This window comes from Homo sapiens, chromosome 5, assembly GCF_000001405.40.
Source record: "Homo sapiens chromosome 5, GRCh38.p14 Primary Assembly".
In the NCBI taxonomy this organism is placed as follows: domain Eukaryota; kingdom Metazoa; phylum Chordata; class Mammalia; order Primates; family Hominidae; genus Homo; species Homo sapiens.
The window spans coordinates 177,736,384-177,751,120 of record NC_000005.10 but is presented as its reverse complement, the minus strand read 5'-3'; the positions used below and the strand labels follow the sequence as shown (position 1 = coordinate 177,751,120).

The following is a 14,737-nucleotide window of genomic DNA, read 5'->3' as shown; positions in this document are numbered from 1 at the left end:
ATTACTCATTTCTCTGATCTTTTGCGGCAAGACACCAACACCTGTCTTTATTTTAATTCATTTCCCAGTGTGTTGTGGCGAGGATGAAATAGTGTATCCTAGGATGCCAGGGGAATCCACCGTCTGCCACCGCGAGCGTGAGAAGCCAATCACCTATCACTGGTATCACTGGCATCCCGGCCATATATACCCTAGAATTGCATCAATGGAAGGTGTTGTGGAAATTCAGTCATTCAGTTCATTCATGATATGATTTCTAGATTCTTCAGTGTCTCATATTTCAGACAATTATAAAATTGCGATGCTATATTCTTTATTTCATGTGTGCATATTTAAATGTGTTAAGTCAATCACTAGTGCTACAACCAGAGGAGTAAAGGTGTATTTCCATTCCAGATTTGGGTTTACTTTTAATAGTAAATAACATCTCAGTGCAAATTGTAGACATTTTGCTGATTGTTAAAACATTAATTAAAAAGGATCTTTTTCTGAGACAGTGTTGCCAGGTTTGTAAAGTAATGGACATCACTTCAAACTGTTTGGAAGTAACCGAAAAATGGAGGAAGTGGCAACAAAAATTTCCATATACCCACCTTCCTCAGTGTTTTTTGGTGATCCCATCTTTGTGAGTGTGATAACGCTCGTAACAATGACTGAGCCAATAGTGATACATTCTTATGAACAGAAGTCCAAGGTTAGCATCAGTGACTGAGCCAATAGTGATACATTCTTATGAACAGAAATCTAGGGTTAGCATCAAGGTTCACTCTGTGTTGTCCAGCCTATGGGTTTTGACAAACTGACAATGTCTTTTGTCACCCTGACGGAATAATTTCACATCCTAAACATGACCTGAGCTGCATCTACTAATTCCTCTCCTTTTCTGAGGATTCCTGACAACTATGGATGATTTTTACTGCCTCTATAGGTTTCCTTTTCCAGAATTTTATAGAGTTGGAATCATAGAGTATGTAGCTACGTATAACTAACTTATTTTACTTAGCAATATACATGTAAGATCTTTTGTATCGTTTTGAAGCTTAACAGCTTAATAATTCTTATCAGTGAACAATAGTCCATTGGTTTCATCGAACAGGGTTAGTTGGTTCACTCACTGCCTGAAGACCATCTGAGCTGCTTCCAATTTGGGTAATTATGAATAAAGCTGCCCACATTCTTGTGCAGATTTTAAGATGAACATAATTTTCTAATTTAGCTGGGTAAATATGTAGAATTTTGATCACTTGCTGGTAAGACTATGTTTTCCATTGTGTTAGGCAGAATTCACCAGTACAATTATGTGGGCATTTTTTTTTTAAGTTATTACTTCCTGATTAAATTCTATAATGATAGAGGCCTACTCAGATTATCTATCTCTCCTTTGGGTGGTTATGGTAGTTTCTCCCTTTGAAGGCATTTGTCCATTTCATCTAAGCTAGGAAATTTGTGGGTATAGACACTTGAATCTGACAAGTTGCCTGCTTGGTTCTCATCAAAGGCTGCTGTGCTTCCTGTCATTCCTACTCTCAAACATTTCAATAGACTTTCACTCCTGCACTTAAAAAATTGCAGGCATAGATTTGTTGAAAGTATTCTGTTATTATTTTCTTAATGATTATGGGATCAGCAAGGATAATTCCTCTTCTATTCATATTGTTTGTACATCGTGTCTTCTCTATTTTCTTTGTGATTAGCCTTGCTGGAGGTTTACCAATTCTATTGATCTTTTCTAAGAAGCAGCTTTTGGTTTTGTTGAGTTTCTTTATTTTATTATTTCTATTACATTGATTTCTGCAAATATTGTTATATTTTGGGGGAGGAGGGTTGCCTGGTTTACATTACACTATACTTTTTTCTCTAGTTTCCTAAGGTGGGAAGTAAGACATCTGGATTTGGATTACATTTAGTTTACTGCACAGAATTGTGAATGGCACTGATGCCCCTGAAGTGTGCACTTGATTATTAAAATAATAAATACGATGTATTTTGGCCACAATACTGATTTTAAAGCCAATTAAATGGATGATAAGTACAGGAGGAGCATATGTAGATCAAGGAAAGATAAATGACATTATAACATTTCAACAACAAAAGAAATTTACCGGGCCTCAAAATGCACAAGGGGGTGATGGGACACTGTCATGAAATCAGCAGTGCATTTGTGTGCCACCCTGTGTGAACTCTGCCTTTTTCGCAGTGGTGTGGGGGCTTAGCCAGAGAACCAGGTCCTGACTTCTGTGGCTTCCTGATGGTCTCATTTGCCTTCCCTCATCACCCAGGAGGGTGTCCCAGTGGAAGCCAAGTTTCTACCCTTAACCCACCTCCTTTACACATGCCAGCCCCCTGTCCTTAGCATCCAAGGTTGCCTAAGGGATTCCTTCAGTGGAACCAACATGATGACAGTTACTCTGTGTTTCCTAGATTACGATGAGGACCTGGTGCAGGAAGCTTCATCTGAAGATGTCCTGGGCGTTCATATGGTAAGTTCTTCTTTATGTTTCTGAGATGGAAATTTTGTTGCTCTTGGTTCTTTTTTATTTTATTTGAATTGAGATATGAAAATCTTACCATGTACATTATAGATGACTTACAGAATATTTTGGTGGGAAAATGTGAGGGTCATTACCAGGTAAGAAATGATCTCAGATGGCATTCTTAGATGACACCTTCAGTTATGAACTGTATGGCAGAAAGAATTTTTGTTAGGGGAAAAGCTTTCTTCTTACAACATTGTGACTATACAACCAAAACAATCTTGAAAGTCTTGCATAAAAATCTTGTGCCTTTCCAGAAGTGTCTTCGAGGCTTTAGGACCATTGCCTCAACCACTGTCTCCCATCTGCTTTTCTAATGTCACCAAGTAAAGAAAAGACTTGTATGGTGAAACCCCATCTCTACTAAAAATACAAAAATTAGCTGGGCATGCTGACCGGCTACTGTAATCTCAGCTACTGGGGAGGCTAAGGGAGCAGGATCGCTTGAGGCCAGGAGGCGGATGTTGCAGTGAGCCATGATCATGACACTGTACTCCAGCCTGGGTGACAGAGCGAAATTCCAGCAAAGAAAGGGAGAGAGGGAGTAGGGGAGAGAGAGAGAGAGAGAGAGAGAGGCAGGAAGGAAGGAAGAAGGGAAGGGAAGAAGGAAGAGAAAGAAGGAAGGGAAAGAAAGAAGGAAGGAAAGAGAAAAAGAGAAAGAAAGAAAAAGAAAGAAAAGAAAGGAAAGAAAGAAAGAGAAAAGAAGGAAGGGAGGGAGGGAAAAGGAAAACCTGTGCACACAGGACACAGCATGGTCTGACCCTTGTAGTGTTTTGTTTTTCTCTAAATGCAGGTGGACAAAGACACAGAGAGAGACAGTACGTATTCTGGAATCACCCCTATGCTGAGGAAAAATTCTAGTGTTGACAAAGGTGACACTTTCTTGCCTCATTTTTTCTGGAGAGCCACTCTGGTTTGAACTTCCTGCCAGAAATGTGGTTCAAGCACTTTTGTCTTGACAAGTGAAGAACCTGGTCAAGAAATGTGACTGTTGACTCTGGTGCTTGGAAGGAACAGGGTCATTTGGATAGAAGAGGGTGTTGTGAATCAGAGTTGGGAGGTATGGAGGAATGACTCAATGTGGAATGATTGTGAATGTCTCTGCGAGTTTGTGTGCTTTTCCCCAGAAAATACGTTCCCATATGCAAAGCACAACACAAAGATTGATATTCTAGAAACAAAATTTGATCACCACTGCATTTTTGCAAAAAATCAACCCATTCATTCCTCACCACAGCTGTAGCTGAAGGTAAGTTTAATATCCCAAGTCCTCACATGGAGATGATGTAGAGATGAATTTTTCAGGCTTTTGGTCTCCTAAATGGAAATGGCATAGATGAACTCAGGAATGGGTGGAAGGGTGATGCTGTGGGCTACTAGTCTGAAGTTATAACATGGCCCTGGTGTAACTTGTCACCATGTCAGAGAGTCCTTAGCATCTATGTGTATGTGGAAGTATGTTGGCCTATAAAGATCTCCAGCACTGTATACCACAATAGAATGGTCTCAATGGTCAGCTGACCCAGAGTTTGAGTAGGTTCATTGTACAGTGAACTTGGGTGCGGTCATTAATATGAAACATACAGAGGGAGCTGCCAGGCCTTTGGTCTTAAGTGATGGGGTATTCCTCAGTTCCTGGTCAAGGGCAGAGAACATTCAGAGATATATTCTATTATATTTAATGAGATCATCACCACAAACGTTAGAAATGCTCCAATTCAGTAGCACACATACCCAAGACACAGCACCCAACAAGATCTCACAGAGCCAATTGGCTGTTAGCCTGGTGCCCATCTCGTCTGCTGGAATCTCTGCACAGCTGGGTAACAGAGGGTCAGCGCCCCCACCTGCTGTCACCCATGAAGGGCTGTCCCATTCCTGGAGCCAGTGTGAGTATGAGCAACAGCGGGCCCCATGACACACACACACAGTGTTAAAAGAAAGAGCAGAAGGACAAATATCACAGGCTAAGTAGAGGTCATCTTTAAATGGTAGGATAATTGAGTATTTTCAAATCTTGGTTTAGTCTTCTTTGAAACAAAAGGTTAGTGAATATGTAGAATATTTTGGCTAGAATTATATCACCTCTTTGAAGAAAGGTTGCTTTTTACCTCGTACAAAATGTTCTGGCTGGAGACGGTGGCTCATGCCTGTAATCCCAGTGCTTTGGGAGGCCAAGGAGGGTGGATTACCTAAGGTCAGGAGTTCAAGACCAGCCTGATCAACATGGAGAAACCCCATCTCTACTAAAAATACAAAATTAGCTGGGCATGGGAGCACATGTCTCTAATACCAGCTACTCAGGAAGCACATGTCTTTAATACCAGCTACTCAGGGAGCACATGTCTGTAATACCAGCTACTCAGCTACCCATTCATCGTCCACCACAGCTGTACCTGAAGATAAGTTTAATATCCCCAGTCCTCGGATGGACATGCTGCAGAGTTGAATTTCCCAAGCTCTTGGTCTTTTAAATGGAAGAGGCACATGTGAACTCGGGAATGAGTGGAAGGTTAATGCCATGGGCTACTACACTGAATTTGTCACAAAGCCCTGGTATAATTTCTTGCTAGGCCAAGTTATTCCAGCACTTCTGTGTGCTGGAAGAATGAAAACCTATTCAGATCCCAAACACTATCATTATCGGATGGTCTCAATGGTCAGCTAACCCAGGGTTTGTTTGAGTAGGTACATTGCACAGTGGGCTTTAGTGTGATCATTAATGTAAAACACACAGAGTCCTCAGGCTTTTGGTCTACAGCGTTGAGGTCATTCCTCAGCTCCTGTTCAAAAGCAGACAATAATCAGTGACATACTCTATTGTATTTAAGGAGATAATCACCGCAAGTCTTAGAAATTCAGTGGAAACCAATCCCAACACATAGCATCCAATAAAATCTCAAGACTCAACTTGGGTGTTAGCCTGGCACCCATTTTCCCTGCTGGAATCTCTGCACAGCTGGGTTGGAGAGGGTCAGTGCCCACCCCTTGCCCCGCCTCGCTGCTCCCCATGACAGACTGTCTCTGTGCTGGAGTCAGTGTGAGCATGAGCAGCAGTGAACTCCATGGTGCACACACATGGTGTTGAAAAGGAAGAGCGGAAGAACAAATATCACATGCTAAGTAGGGGTCATCGTTAAATGGTAGGATAATAGAGTATTTTCAAATCTCTGTTTATTTGCCTTGTAACAGAAAGTTAGTAATAAAATCTTTTGGCTAGAATTAAATCTCCTATTTTAAGAAAGGTTACTTCTTGTTTAGTACAAAATCTTCTAGAAGGGATGATAAACAGATCAGCAGCACATGTGGATTCTGAGGAGGAAATGACTTTGGCAGGGATCAATAAGAGGGCAAGTTAGCTCAGGTCAGATTAGGAAGGAGGAGCCCTAAGAGGCTGCCAGGGACACACAGCCTGCACTGCTGGTGTGCACTGTTTGAGATTGGCTATTATATGTTTATGAGGCGGCCTGGAGCTAGGAAGCCAAAGGCCCTGATTCCCTTTCTTCCTGCATCTCTCCTGTGCCTGCTACCCTCCTCCCAAGCCCACCTCAAGCAGTGTTACTGAATTGTTCATGAGCGCCACCACCAAGGTGCTGACGGTCACTCTGTATCCTCCTAGTTGAGATGAAACGGCAACTACGGCGACTACGGGAGCTCCACCTATACAGCACATGGAAGAAGTACCAAGAGGCGATGAAGGTCAGGCCACCTGGATTTGTCTGAGAAAAAACTGTTGCTTTCTTAGCTTTATCTTATTTGGATTACATTAAGATATGAGACTCTGACAATATGTATCTTAGTTACACAGTGTCCTTGGGGGGAATTGTAAGTGAGAGTCTGTCCCCACTGAGGCTTGATTTAAAACAGTGGGAGAAAATGACAGCATCAGTCACACATTGTGGGGCAGGGAGCTTTTGCCTTACTAATTTTGTTCTCTCTTTGGAGCAAAATCAGTTACTTGCCAACCAACATGGACTTGAGAGGAAATATCCTCTGAGAAAAATTTGTGTCTTTAGTATGAGTTGATTTGCTCTGTTCTTCTTTGGGGTTCCTTTGAACACTGGTTTTTCCATCTTGTTTTCTAATGTCACTAAGTGAAGAAAAGTCCTGTGCTCACAGGACACAGCATGGTCTGATGCTCATAGCAATTTATTTTCTGTCGTTACAGACATCCTTGGGAGTTCCACAATGTGGTACGTATTGGGGAACCCCTCTCATACTGATGAGTAATCTAGATGTTGAGGAATGTGGCCCTGTCTCACAGGCTTTCCTGTAGACAGGCAGCCTGAGCTGAGCTTCATGTTGTGAATGAGGACCTAGACTGTGATGGGAGAAATGGTTTTTCTAGATAAGAAACAGTGGCCACATTCTGCAGTCCCCGGGAACAACTGTGTTCTCTGAAGGTGGGGTGGGATCCCGTGCAAGGGGCCTGCCATGTCTTTTGTGAATTCATGTGGTGCCATGGTCCGTGTGTCTGGCGGGCGGGTGTGTGGGTTTCCATACTACATATCCCCAGAGTTTCTAGTGTCCACATTCTCAACAGAGATTTCCGTCACCATTGCGGTCCTATTGTAGGCACAAAAAAAGATTAACTTGTAAGCTTCCAATGTTTGCAGTTTATTTCATGCACAGGGCACTTCAATAAACCTAAAAGAAATCCTGTCAACACAAAGGCAAATTCTTACTGCACACCCATAGAACAGGACTGTGTCAGAATCTCTGCTGATTTTATTTTTTCATTCAGAATTCCCTGCTATACTTTATTTTCTAATAAACCTCACCTCTTCACAGGCCTTTCTATTTCCTCTGCCACTGGAGTGGTCATGACACCTCACTCTAGCCCCTTCCCTCCTTTACAAGCCTTTTATCTACCAAAGCCCTCAGAATTGACCCTCCACCACCCATCTTGAGCAGGGAGAGTGGGGCAGGGCTTCTTCCTGTGCATTTAGACCCTGGAGCAGCCTCATGCTACAGCGAGTTCTGCTGGGAAACTGAGAAGAGAGGAGCCTGCAGGTGGGGTTGGGGTGAAATCACCCCAACTTTCTCCATTGAGGCCTCATATTGACCATAAGATAATGGGGCCCAGAATGGATAATTCCAGGGTCATATAGAGTTTCAGCCTTCTATCCCTCAGCCTAGTCATGGTTTCTGTGTGCTCGGCTCAGAAACTACATGAAAAGAAAACCAAGGGGTTTGCCCTAGGGTCTGAGAGGCAGGGCGAGCACTTGCCTTCCTAGCATGATGGAGGGTGGCTCATGCACTGCAGGTGGGAAAGCAAACTCGGCTGTGGTACTGCAGAGGCTCCACGATGTCCCCATTCAACCGACTGTTGGCAAAGGTGCTTGTTTGTTTCTGAAGGCTGTTGCAAAAAAAAAAAAAACAAAACAAAAAAAAAACAAGTGAATGCAGTTGGTTTCGGTGAATAGGAATATAAACTCAGCCAAATTTAGCTTGAGTTTTTTCTTGGAGTATGCATTTGGTGGAAACTTATTGTGTATAAATCAAATTTGATTGCTGTGTAGGTGTCATTACTTATCCCACGTTGTAAAACAATCAGGCTGGTGTGATTTGAAAATGTCCTTCACTAACCTCAGACACTGTCCCCTCATAACCCGATTCCCCTAGTCATCTTTAATCTCTAGAATATAGTTTCTTGTGGTACTCAGGGGGCTTTCTGCTGTGAGCGATTAAAGGTACAAATCAGTGTTACCAACATTGGGGCTCTAAAAATTCATAGACAGCTGCCCGTTGGGCTCTATGCGAGAGACAGCAGGCTACAGCCTTGGCCTGGGCCTGCAGAGGAACATGATTTGGAGGAGCAGAAGGAAGGCATGAGGGCAGCAAAGCCACGAGGGAAGCCAAGGTGCAACATCAGGAGAGTCAGTTCTACATCACCTGGGCACGGCCGGAATGTTCAAGCCTCATCTGAAGGAGGAGTTGAGCTCCGACTTCATGGCTGGCCTGAACATTGGCCATCTTCCCAAAAGCCTGGACAGAGGAGCTACTTTCTTGTTTCTTGTCTTCTCCATCTCCCTGTGTGTTGACAGCAATGGCACCACCAGAAATTAGTGAGAGACAGAGAACAGGAGTGAGTTCCTGAAATGTTCAACTTAGCCCAGAGAGGACATGATCATTAGGGATGGACTTCAGGGTCAGGCCAGACACAGAGTAGTTGCCAGGCTTGATCACCCTGTGGCTGGGACAAAGATCAGCTTCTGGGAGTCGCTGGACAGGTGGTCCTTGTGTAGCTACTATTGGCCAAGAGTGTCCTGGCCCAGAGTTCCGTTTTACTGGAGGGAGCCTCAGCTCCAAGGCAGGGCAGCTGCCCAATGCTAGTGTTGGAGGAGGCGAGGAGGGGACCTTGCTCTAAGGCAGGCTGAACTCAACAAAGGGAGAGGGGCTGCCCTGGAGTTTAGGTGGTCCTTGCAACCCTCCCGCGTGATCCATAAGAGATCAGTTTCTCTGAGACAGCCTTGCAATCATCAGTCCCAAAGTCTGTAGTCTCCTACTCACAGGTGGAGGAATCCTGGCCATGGCTGGTCACTGGGAGGGCAGGGACTGTGTCCTCATCCTTCTTTCTCATCCCAGAGCTCAGCTCTGGGCAGCCCATCTTGGGCCCCAGTGATGTTCCGATGCCTGCATTCCTGTTCTGAGATCTAGCACAAGTGTGCAAAAACTTTCTGCTCATTTTCTATAGTCTCCGGGTTCCCACACTTACCCAGTTACCTGCGTGGGTTGTAATCCAGGGTCGGGGAGAAGAGGGTGGGCTCCTCAAACAGTGAGGTTTTCTCTTCTCTGCCCCTGCGGTTCTGGTCTGTCTGTTCCTGAAGTGTGCACTGAATGATTACAATAATAAATTTTGTATATGTTTTACCACAACAATGTCTGAAGTTCAATAAAATGAATGGAAAGTGCAAGAGAGGCATATGTAGACCCAGGAAAGATAAATGACATTGTCACATTTCAACAGGAAAGTGGAAATTTCCCAGGCCTCAAAACGCATAGGGGAATGATGAGACACTGCCATGGCATCAGCAGTGCATGTCTGTGCTGCCAAGGCTCTGTCTTCCGTGGTTTCCTGATGGTCTCATTGACCTTTCTTCATCACCAAGGAGGATGTTCTGGCAGGAGGTCCTTTTTTGTAGTTAACCCCCCTTGTCTACATGTGCCAGCCCCGTGTTTTTAGCACACAAGTCTGCCTGACGGATTCCTTCAGTGCACCCAACGTGCTGACAATTACTCTGTGTTTCCTAGAGCGTGACGAAGGCTCCTTGGGCAAGCCATTGTGTCCACCCGAGATACTCTCGGAGACGTTGCCAGGCTCTGTGAAGGTAAAGTCTTTTTTGTTTATCTGAGGTGGGAATTTTATTTCTCTTAGTTTCCATAGAAATTGAGATAAGAGATGATCATCTTACCATGTACATTATAGATGACTTACAGAATGTCTTGGTGGGCAGCTGTAAAGTCAGAGTCAATTACCAGCAAGAATGAATTCAAGATGACAGGTTCACTTAAAAACTCTAGGGCAGTAAGCATTTTCCATAGGAGAAGTGCTTCCTTCTTGAAACTAATGGTGAACATGCAATGAAAATAAACTTGGAAATCATGCACAGAAAATTTGTGCCTTTCCACGTGCCCTCTAGGCTTTAATTTGGAGCCCTTGTGTTGACTATTTTCACTATTTCCATTGGGTTTTCTATAATGTCAACAATGCAGAAAAGACCTGTGCACACAGGCCACAGTGTGGTCTGACTCTCATAATGTTTTTCTTTTCTCTATTTGCAGAAAAGGGTATGCTTTCCATCAGAAGGTATGTATTCTGGGTTTACTCTTTTTATTGTTTTTATTTTGCTTGCAATTCTAGGATGCATGTGTAGAACATGCAGCTTTGTTACATTGGTATAAATGTGTCATGGTGGTTTGCTGCACCTAAGCCTTGATCATGGCACTGCATTCTAGCCTGGGCAACACAGTGAGATTTCATCTCAAAAAAAAAAAATGCAGAGAACAATCAGGGACATATTCTGCTATGTTTAATAACATGATGGCCACAAGTGTTCCACATGCCCTTATTCAGCCCACACATCCAATACACAGTGCAGAATAAGAGCTCAAGGAAGAATTGGGGTGTTATTCTGGTGTCCATCACCCCAGTGGGATTTCCTGCACAGCTAGTTTGGAGAGTGTTAGCGCCCCCACCTACTGCCCCCCATGATGATCTGTCCTAGTGCTGGAGTCAGCGTGAGCATGAACAGCAACTGACTCCATGGACACATACATCGTGTTGAAAAGGAAGAGTGGAAGGACAAATAAGCTAAGTGCGGGTCATTTTTAAATGGTAGGATAATTGAGTATTTTCAAATCTTGGTTTAATTCTGTTTGACTCAAAGGTTCAGTGAAGTCATAAGTTTTTTTGACTTCAGGGTCAGGCCAGACACAGAGTAGTTGCCAGGCTTGATCACCAAAGGTTAAATTTTTTTGAAGAAAGGTTGCTTTTATGCAGTACAAAATGTTTTAGGAGGGATGATGAACAGCAGCAGCACATGTGGATCCTGAGGGGGAAATGACCTCAGAAGGGATCACAAAGGGAGGGCAAGTTAGCTCAGGTCAGATTAGGAAGGAGGAACCTGAGACGTTGTAGGGAAGCACAGCCTGCCCCTATGGTGTGCCATCTTTGAGATCAGCTGAGTGCCATTGATGAGCTTGCGTTAGCCAGAGGACCAACGCTCTAGTTCCCATGGCTTTCCTCGTTGTCTCATTTGCCTGCCTGCACCACCAAGGAGAAAGGGCCTGCGGCTCCGTCTGGGGTAGCCAACCTTCTTCACACATGCCAGCCTCATGTCCACACCACCCAATACAACCCGAGGGATTCCCTCAGCGGAATCCATGCAGTGACACTTACCCTATTTCTCCTAGATCATCTAGAGGAGTTTATAGCAGAACATCTCCCTGAAGCATCCAATCAGAGTCTCCTCACTGTTGCCCATGTAAGTTGTTCTTTTTTTGTCTGAAAGGGGAATTTCATTTTCCTAGGTTTCTTTCAATTTCACTTGAATAAAGATAGGAAAATCTTACTGCCATGTACATTTTAGATGACTTACAGAATTTCTTGGTGGGAAAATGTAAAATGAGAATTCATTACTAACTAAGAACTGATTGAAGATGGCATTCATAGATGACAGCTTCAGTTACAAACTATGTCAGCAAGCATTGTCCTCAGGAGAAAAACCTTTTTGAGAATTATGAATTTGCAACCAAAATAAATTTTAAATAATCTTGCACAAAAACCTGGTGCCTTTCTACAAGTGTTCTCTAGGCTTTATTTTTGTGGCCATTGCCTCCACCAGAATTTCCCATCTGGTTTTCTAATAGCACCAAGTTTAGAAAAGACCTGTGCACAGAGACAGCATGATCTTACCCTCATGGTGTTTTTCTTTCTCTAAACGCAGGCAGACGCAGGCACCCAAACCAACGGTATGTATTCTGGGATCACCTTTTTGCTAAGGAAAAATCTTAGTGTTGAGAAAGGTGACACGTTCTTGCCTGCGTTTTCTGGAGAACCACTCTCATTGGAGCTTCCTATTGGAAAATGGGGTTTGGGAAGAAATTTCTAAGAGTGTACTGACGAGTGGTGACCATCCTACGTAGTCTCTGTTAGCTGCCGTGTCATTCTATGAAATCGAATGAGGTGCATCAAGGTGGGGGGCGGGTATAAGAAGAGAGTCTATGTATAGGGATTATGAATGTCTTTGGGAGGATGTGTACATTTCTCCAGATAGCATGCTTCCATGTGCACAGCTCAACACAAAGATGAGTGTTGTAAATAAAAATTCCATTACCACTGCACACCTTAACGTCACTCTGCCCATTTATCCTCCACCACAGCTGTAGCTGAAGGCCAGTTTAATATCCCCAGTACGCAGCTGGAGATAGTGCAGAGATGAATTTGCCAAGCGCTTTATCTCCTCAGTGCAAGAGGCAGAGGTGAACTCAGGAGTGGGTGGAAGGTTGATGCCATGGGCTACTACTCTGAAGTAATCACATGGTTCAGGTATAATTTGTTGTTATGCCAGAGAGTTTTAGCACCTATGTGTGCATATGGAAGTTGGATGGCCTTCAGAAATCCCAAACACTGTCTCTCATGTAGGATTGTCTCAATGGTCACATAACTCAGTGTAGGAATAAGTACATTTTACAGTGGACTTTGGTGTGGTGACACATGGGAAACAGACATTGCGAGGTCAGGCTTTTGGCTGCAGTGCTGTGTTATTTTCTCATCTCCTGATCCAAAGCAGAAAATAATCAGGCGTGTTATATTGTATTTAACGGCATAAACTCCACAAGCCTTACATATGCTGCAGTTCAGCACACACACCCAAGACACAGCACCAAATGAGAACCGAAGGAAAAACTTGGGTGTTATCCTGGTGCTCATCTTCTCTGCTGGACTCTTCTATACAGCTGGGTTGGAGAGGTTCAGCGCCCCCACCTGCTGCCCCCGTGATGGGCTGTCCTAATGCTGGAGCCAGTGTGAGCATGAGCAGCAGCAGGTCCCGTGGCACACACACACTGTGTTAAAAGGAAGGGCAGAAGGACAAACATCACGGGCCAAGTAGCAGTCATCTTTAAATGGTAGGATAATTGAGTATTTTCAAATCTTGGTTTAGTCTTCTTTAAAACAAAAGGTTAGTGAATACATAGAATATTTTAATAGAATTAATCTCCTCATTGAAGAAAGGTTGCTTTGTTTCTAGTACAGAATATTCTGGTCAGGCGTGGTGGCTCACACCTGTAATTCCAGCAGTTTGGGGGGCCAAGACGGGTGGATCACCTGAGGTCAGGCGTTCGAAACCAGGCTGACCAACATGGAGAAAACCCATCTCTCCTAAAAATACAGAATTAACTGGGCATGGTGATGCATGCCTATAATCCCAGCTACTCAGGAGGCTGAGGCTGGAGAATCACTTGAACCTGGGAGGCAGAGGTGGTGGTGGGTTGAGATTGCACAATTATACTCCAGCTGGGGCAAGAAGAGAGTAACTCCATCTCAAAAATAATAATAATAATAAATCTAGGAGGGACAAAATACACAGCAGCAGGACATGTGGATCCTGGGGAGGAAATGACCTCTAGGGGATCAAGAAGGGAGGGCAAGTTAGCTCAGGTCAGATTAGGAAGGAGAAGCTGTCGATGCTCCAGGGAAACACTGTGTGGTGTGCCCTGTTTGAGATGGGTTACTTCATCTCAAAGAGGTTGCCTTAGCTAGAGGACCCAAGGCTCTGTCTTCTGAGGCCTTCCTGATGCCTTCCTTCACCATTTGCCTTCCCTCCACCATGGAGGATGGACTGGCAGCAGCTGAGTCTGTGCTGTGAACACACCTTTCCACACACGCCAGCCCCGTGTCCACAGCTCCAAGACCACCTGAGGGATTCACTCAGTGGAGCTCATGTGCTTATAGCGACTCTGTTTCCTAGGTGACCTGGAAGACCTGGAGGAGCATGGGCCAGGGCAGACAGTCTCTGAGGAAGCCACAGAAGTTCACACGGTAAAGTCGTCTTCTTTCCTCTGAAAAGGAAATTTTATTTCTCTCGGTTTCTCTGTTTCAATTGAATTAAGATGTATACATCTCACCATGTACACTATAGGTGACTGACAGAATTTCTTGGTGGGCAAATGTCAGCGTTCATTATCAACTAAAGAGTGGTTTCAGATGGCATCCACATTTACAAACTGTGTGTCAGCAGGCATTTACCTTAAGAGAAATGTCTTCTTGAGAAAAATTTGGAATTGTCAAACAAAAACAATGAAAATCTTGCACAAAAATCTTGTGCCTTTCCACGAATGTCTTCTAGATATCGGGGCCATTGTCTCAAGTACTATTTACCATCTGTTTTTTTAACATAAACAAGTGAAGAGAAGACCTGTGCACACAGGACACAGCCTGGTCTGATCCTCATAGTGTTTTGTTTTTCTCTAGATGGAGGGGGACCCAGACACACTGGCCGAATGTACGTATTCTGGGATCATCTCTTTGTTTAGGTTCAAAATATTAGAGTTGCAAAGATGGCACTGTTTTGCCTGCCTTTGTTCAAGAGCCACTCTGGTTTGAGCTGTCTGCCAGAAATGAGATTTGGGAAGTTTGGTTTAAAAGAATGCTAAGATCCAGTAAACCACTCTAACCATGCTACTGTCATCCCTGGAAG

General features: G+C 43.9%; 1 protein-coding gene across 27 annotated transcripts in view; it reads left to right on the top strand.

Annotated features, from left to right (window-relative positions):
- FAM153A (family with sequence similarity 153 member A) overlaps nt 1-14,737 on the top strand; it is an 89,179-nt gene that overhangs the window by 32,305 nt on the left and 42,137 nt on the right. For 13 of the 27 annotated variants that reach the window (XM_017009359.2, XM_017009358.2, XM_011534520.3 and 10 more), the window contains exons 2-12: nt 69-212; nt 2,422-2,480; nt 3,328-3,352; nt 6,154-6,233; nt 6,703-6,727; nt 9,789-9,865; nt 10,320-10,344; nt 11,451-11,521; nt 11,984-12,008; nt 14,009-14,079; nt 14,512-14,542. In XM_017009359.2, the coding sequence (XP_016864848.1) occupies nt 69-212; nt 2,422-2,480; nt 3,328-3,352; nt 6,154-6,233; nt 6,703-6,727; nt 9,789-9,865; nt 10,320-10,344; nt 11,451-11,521; nt 11,984-12,008; nt 14,009-14,079; nt 14,512-14,542 (633 nt within the window). Of the gene's footprint in view, nt 1-68; nt 213-2,421; nt 2,481-3,327; nt 3,353-6,153; nt 6,234-6,702; nt 6,728-9,788; nt 9,866-10,319; nt 10,345-11,450; nt 11,522-11,983; nt 12,009-14,008; nt 14,080-14,511; nt 14,543-14,737 lie in introns of those variants that run through there. The other 14 variants (NR_146226.2, NR_146227.2, XM_017009364.2 and 11 more) reach the window with 3 other exon arrangements.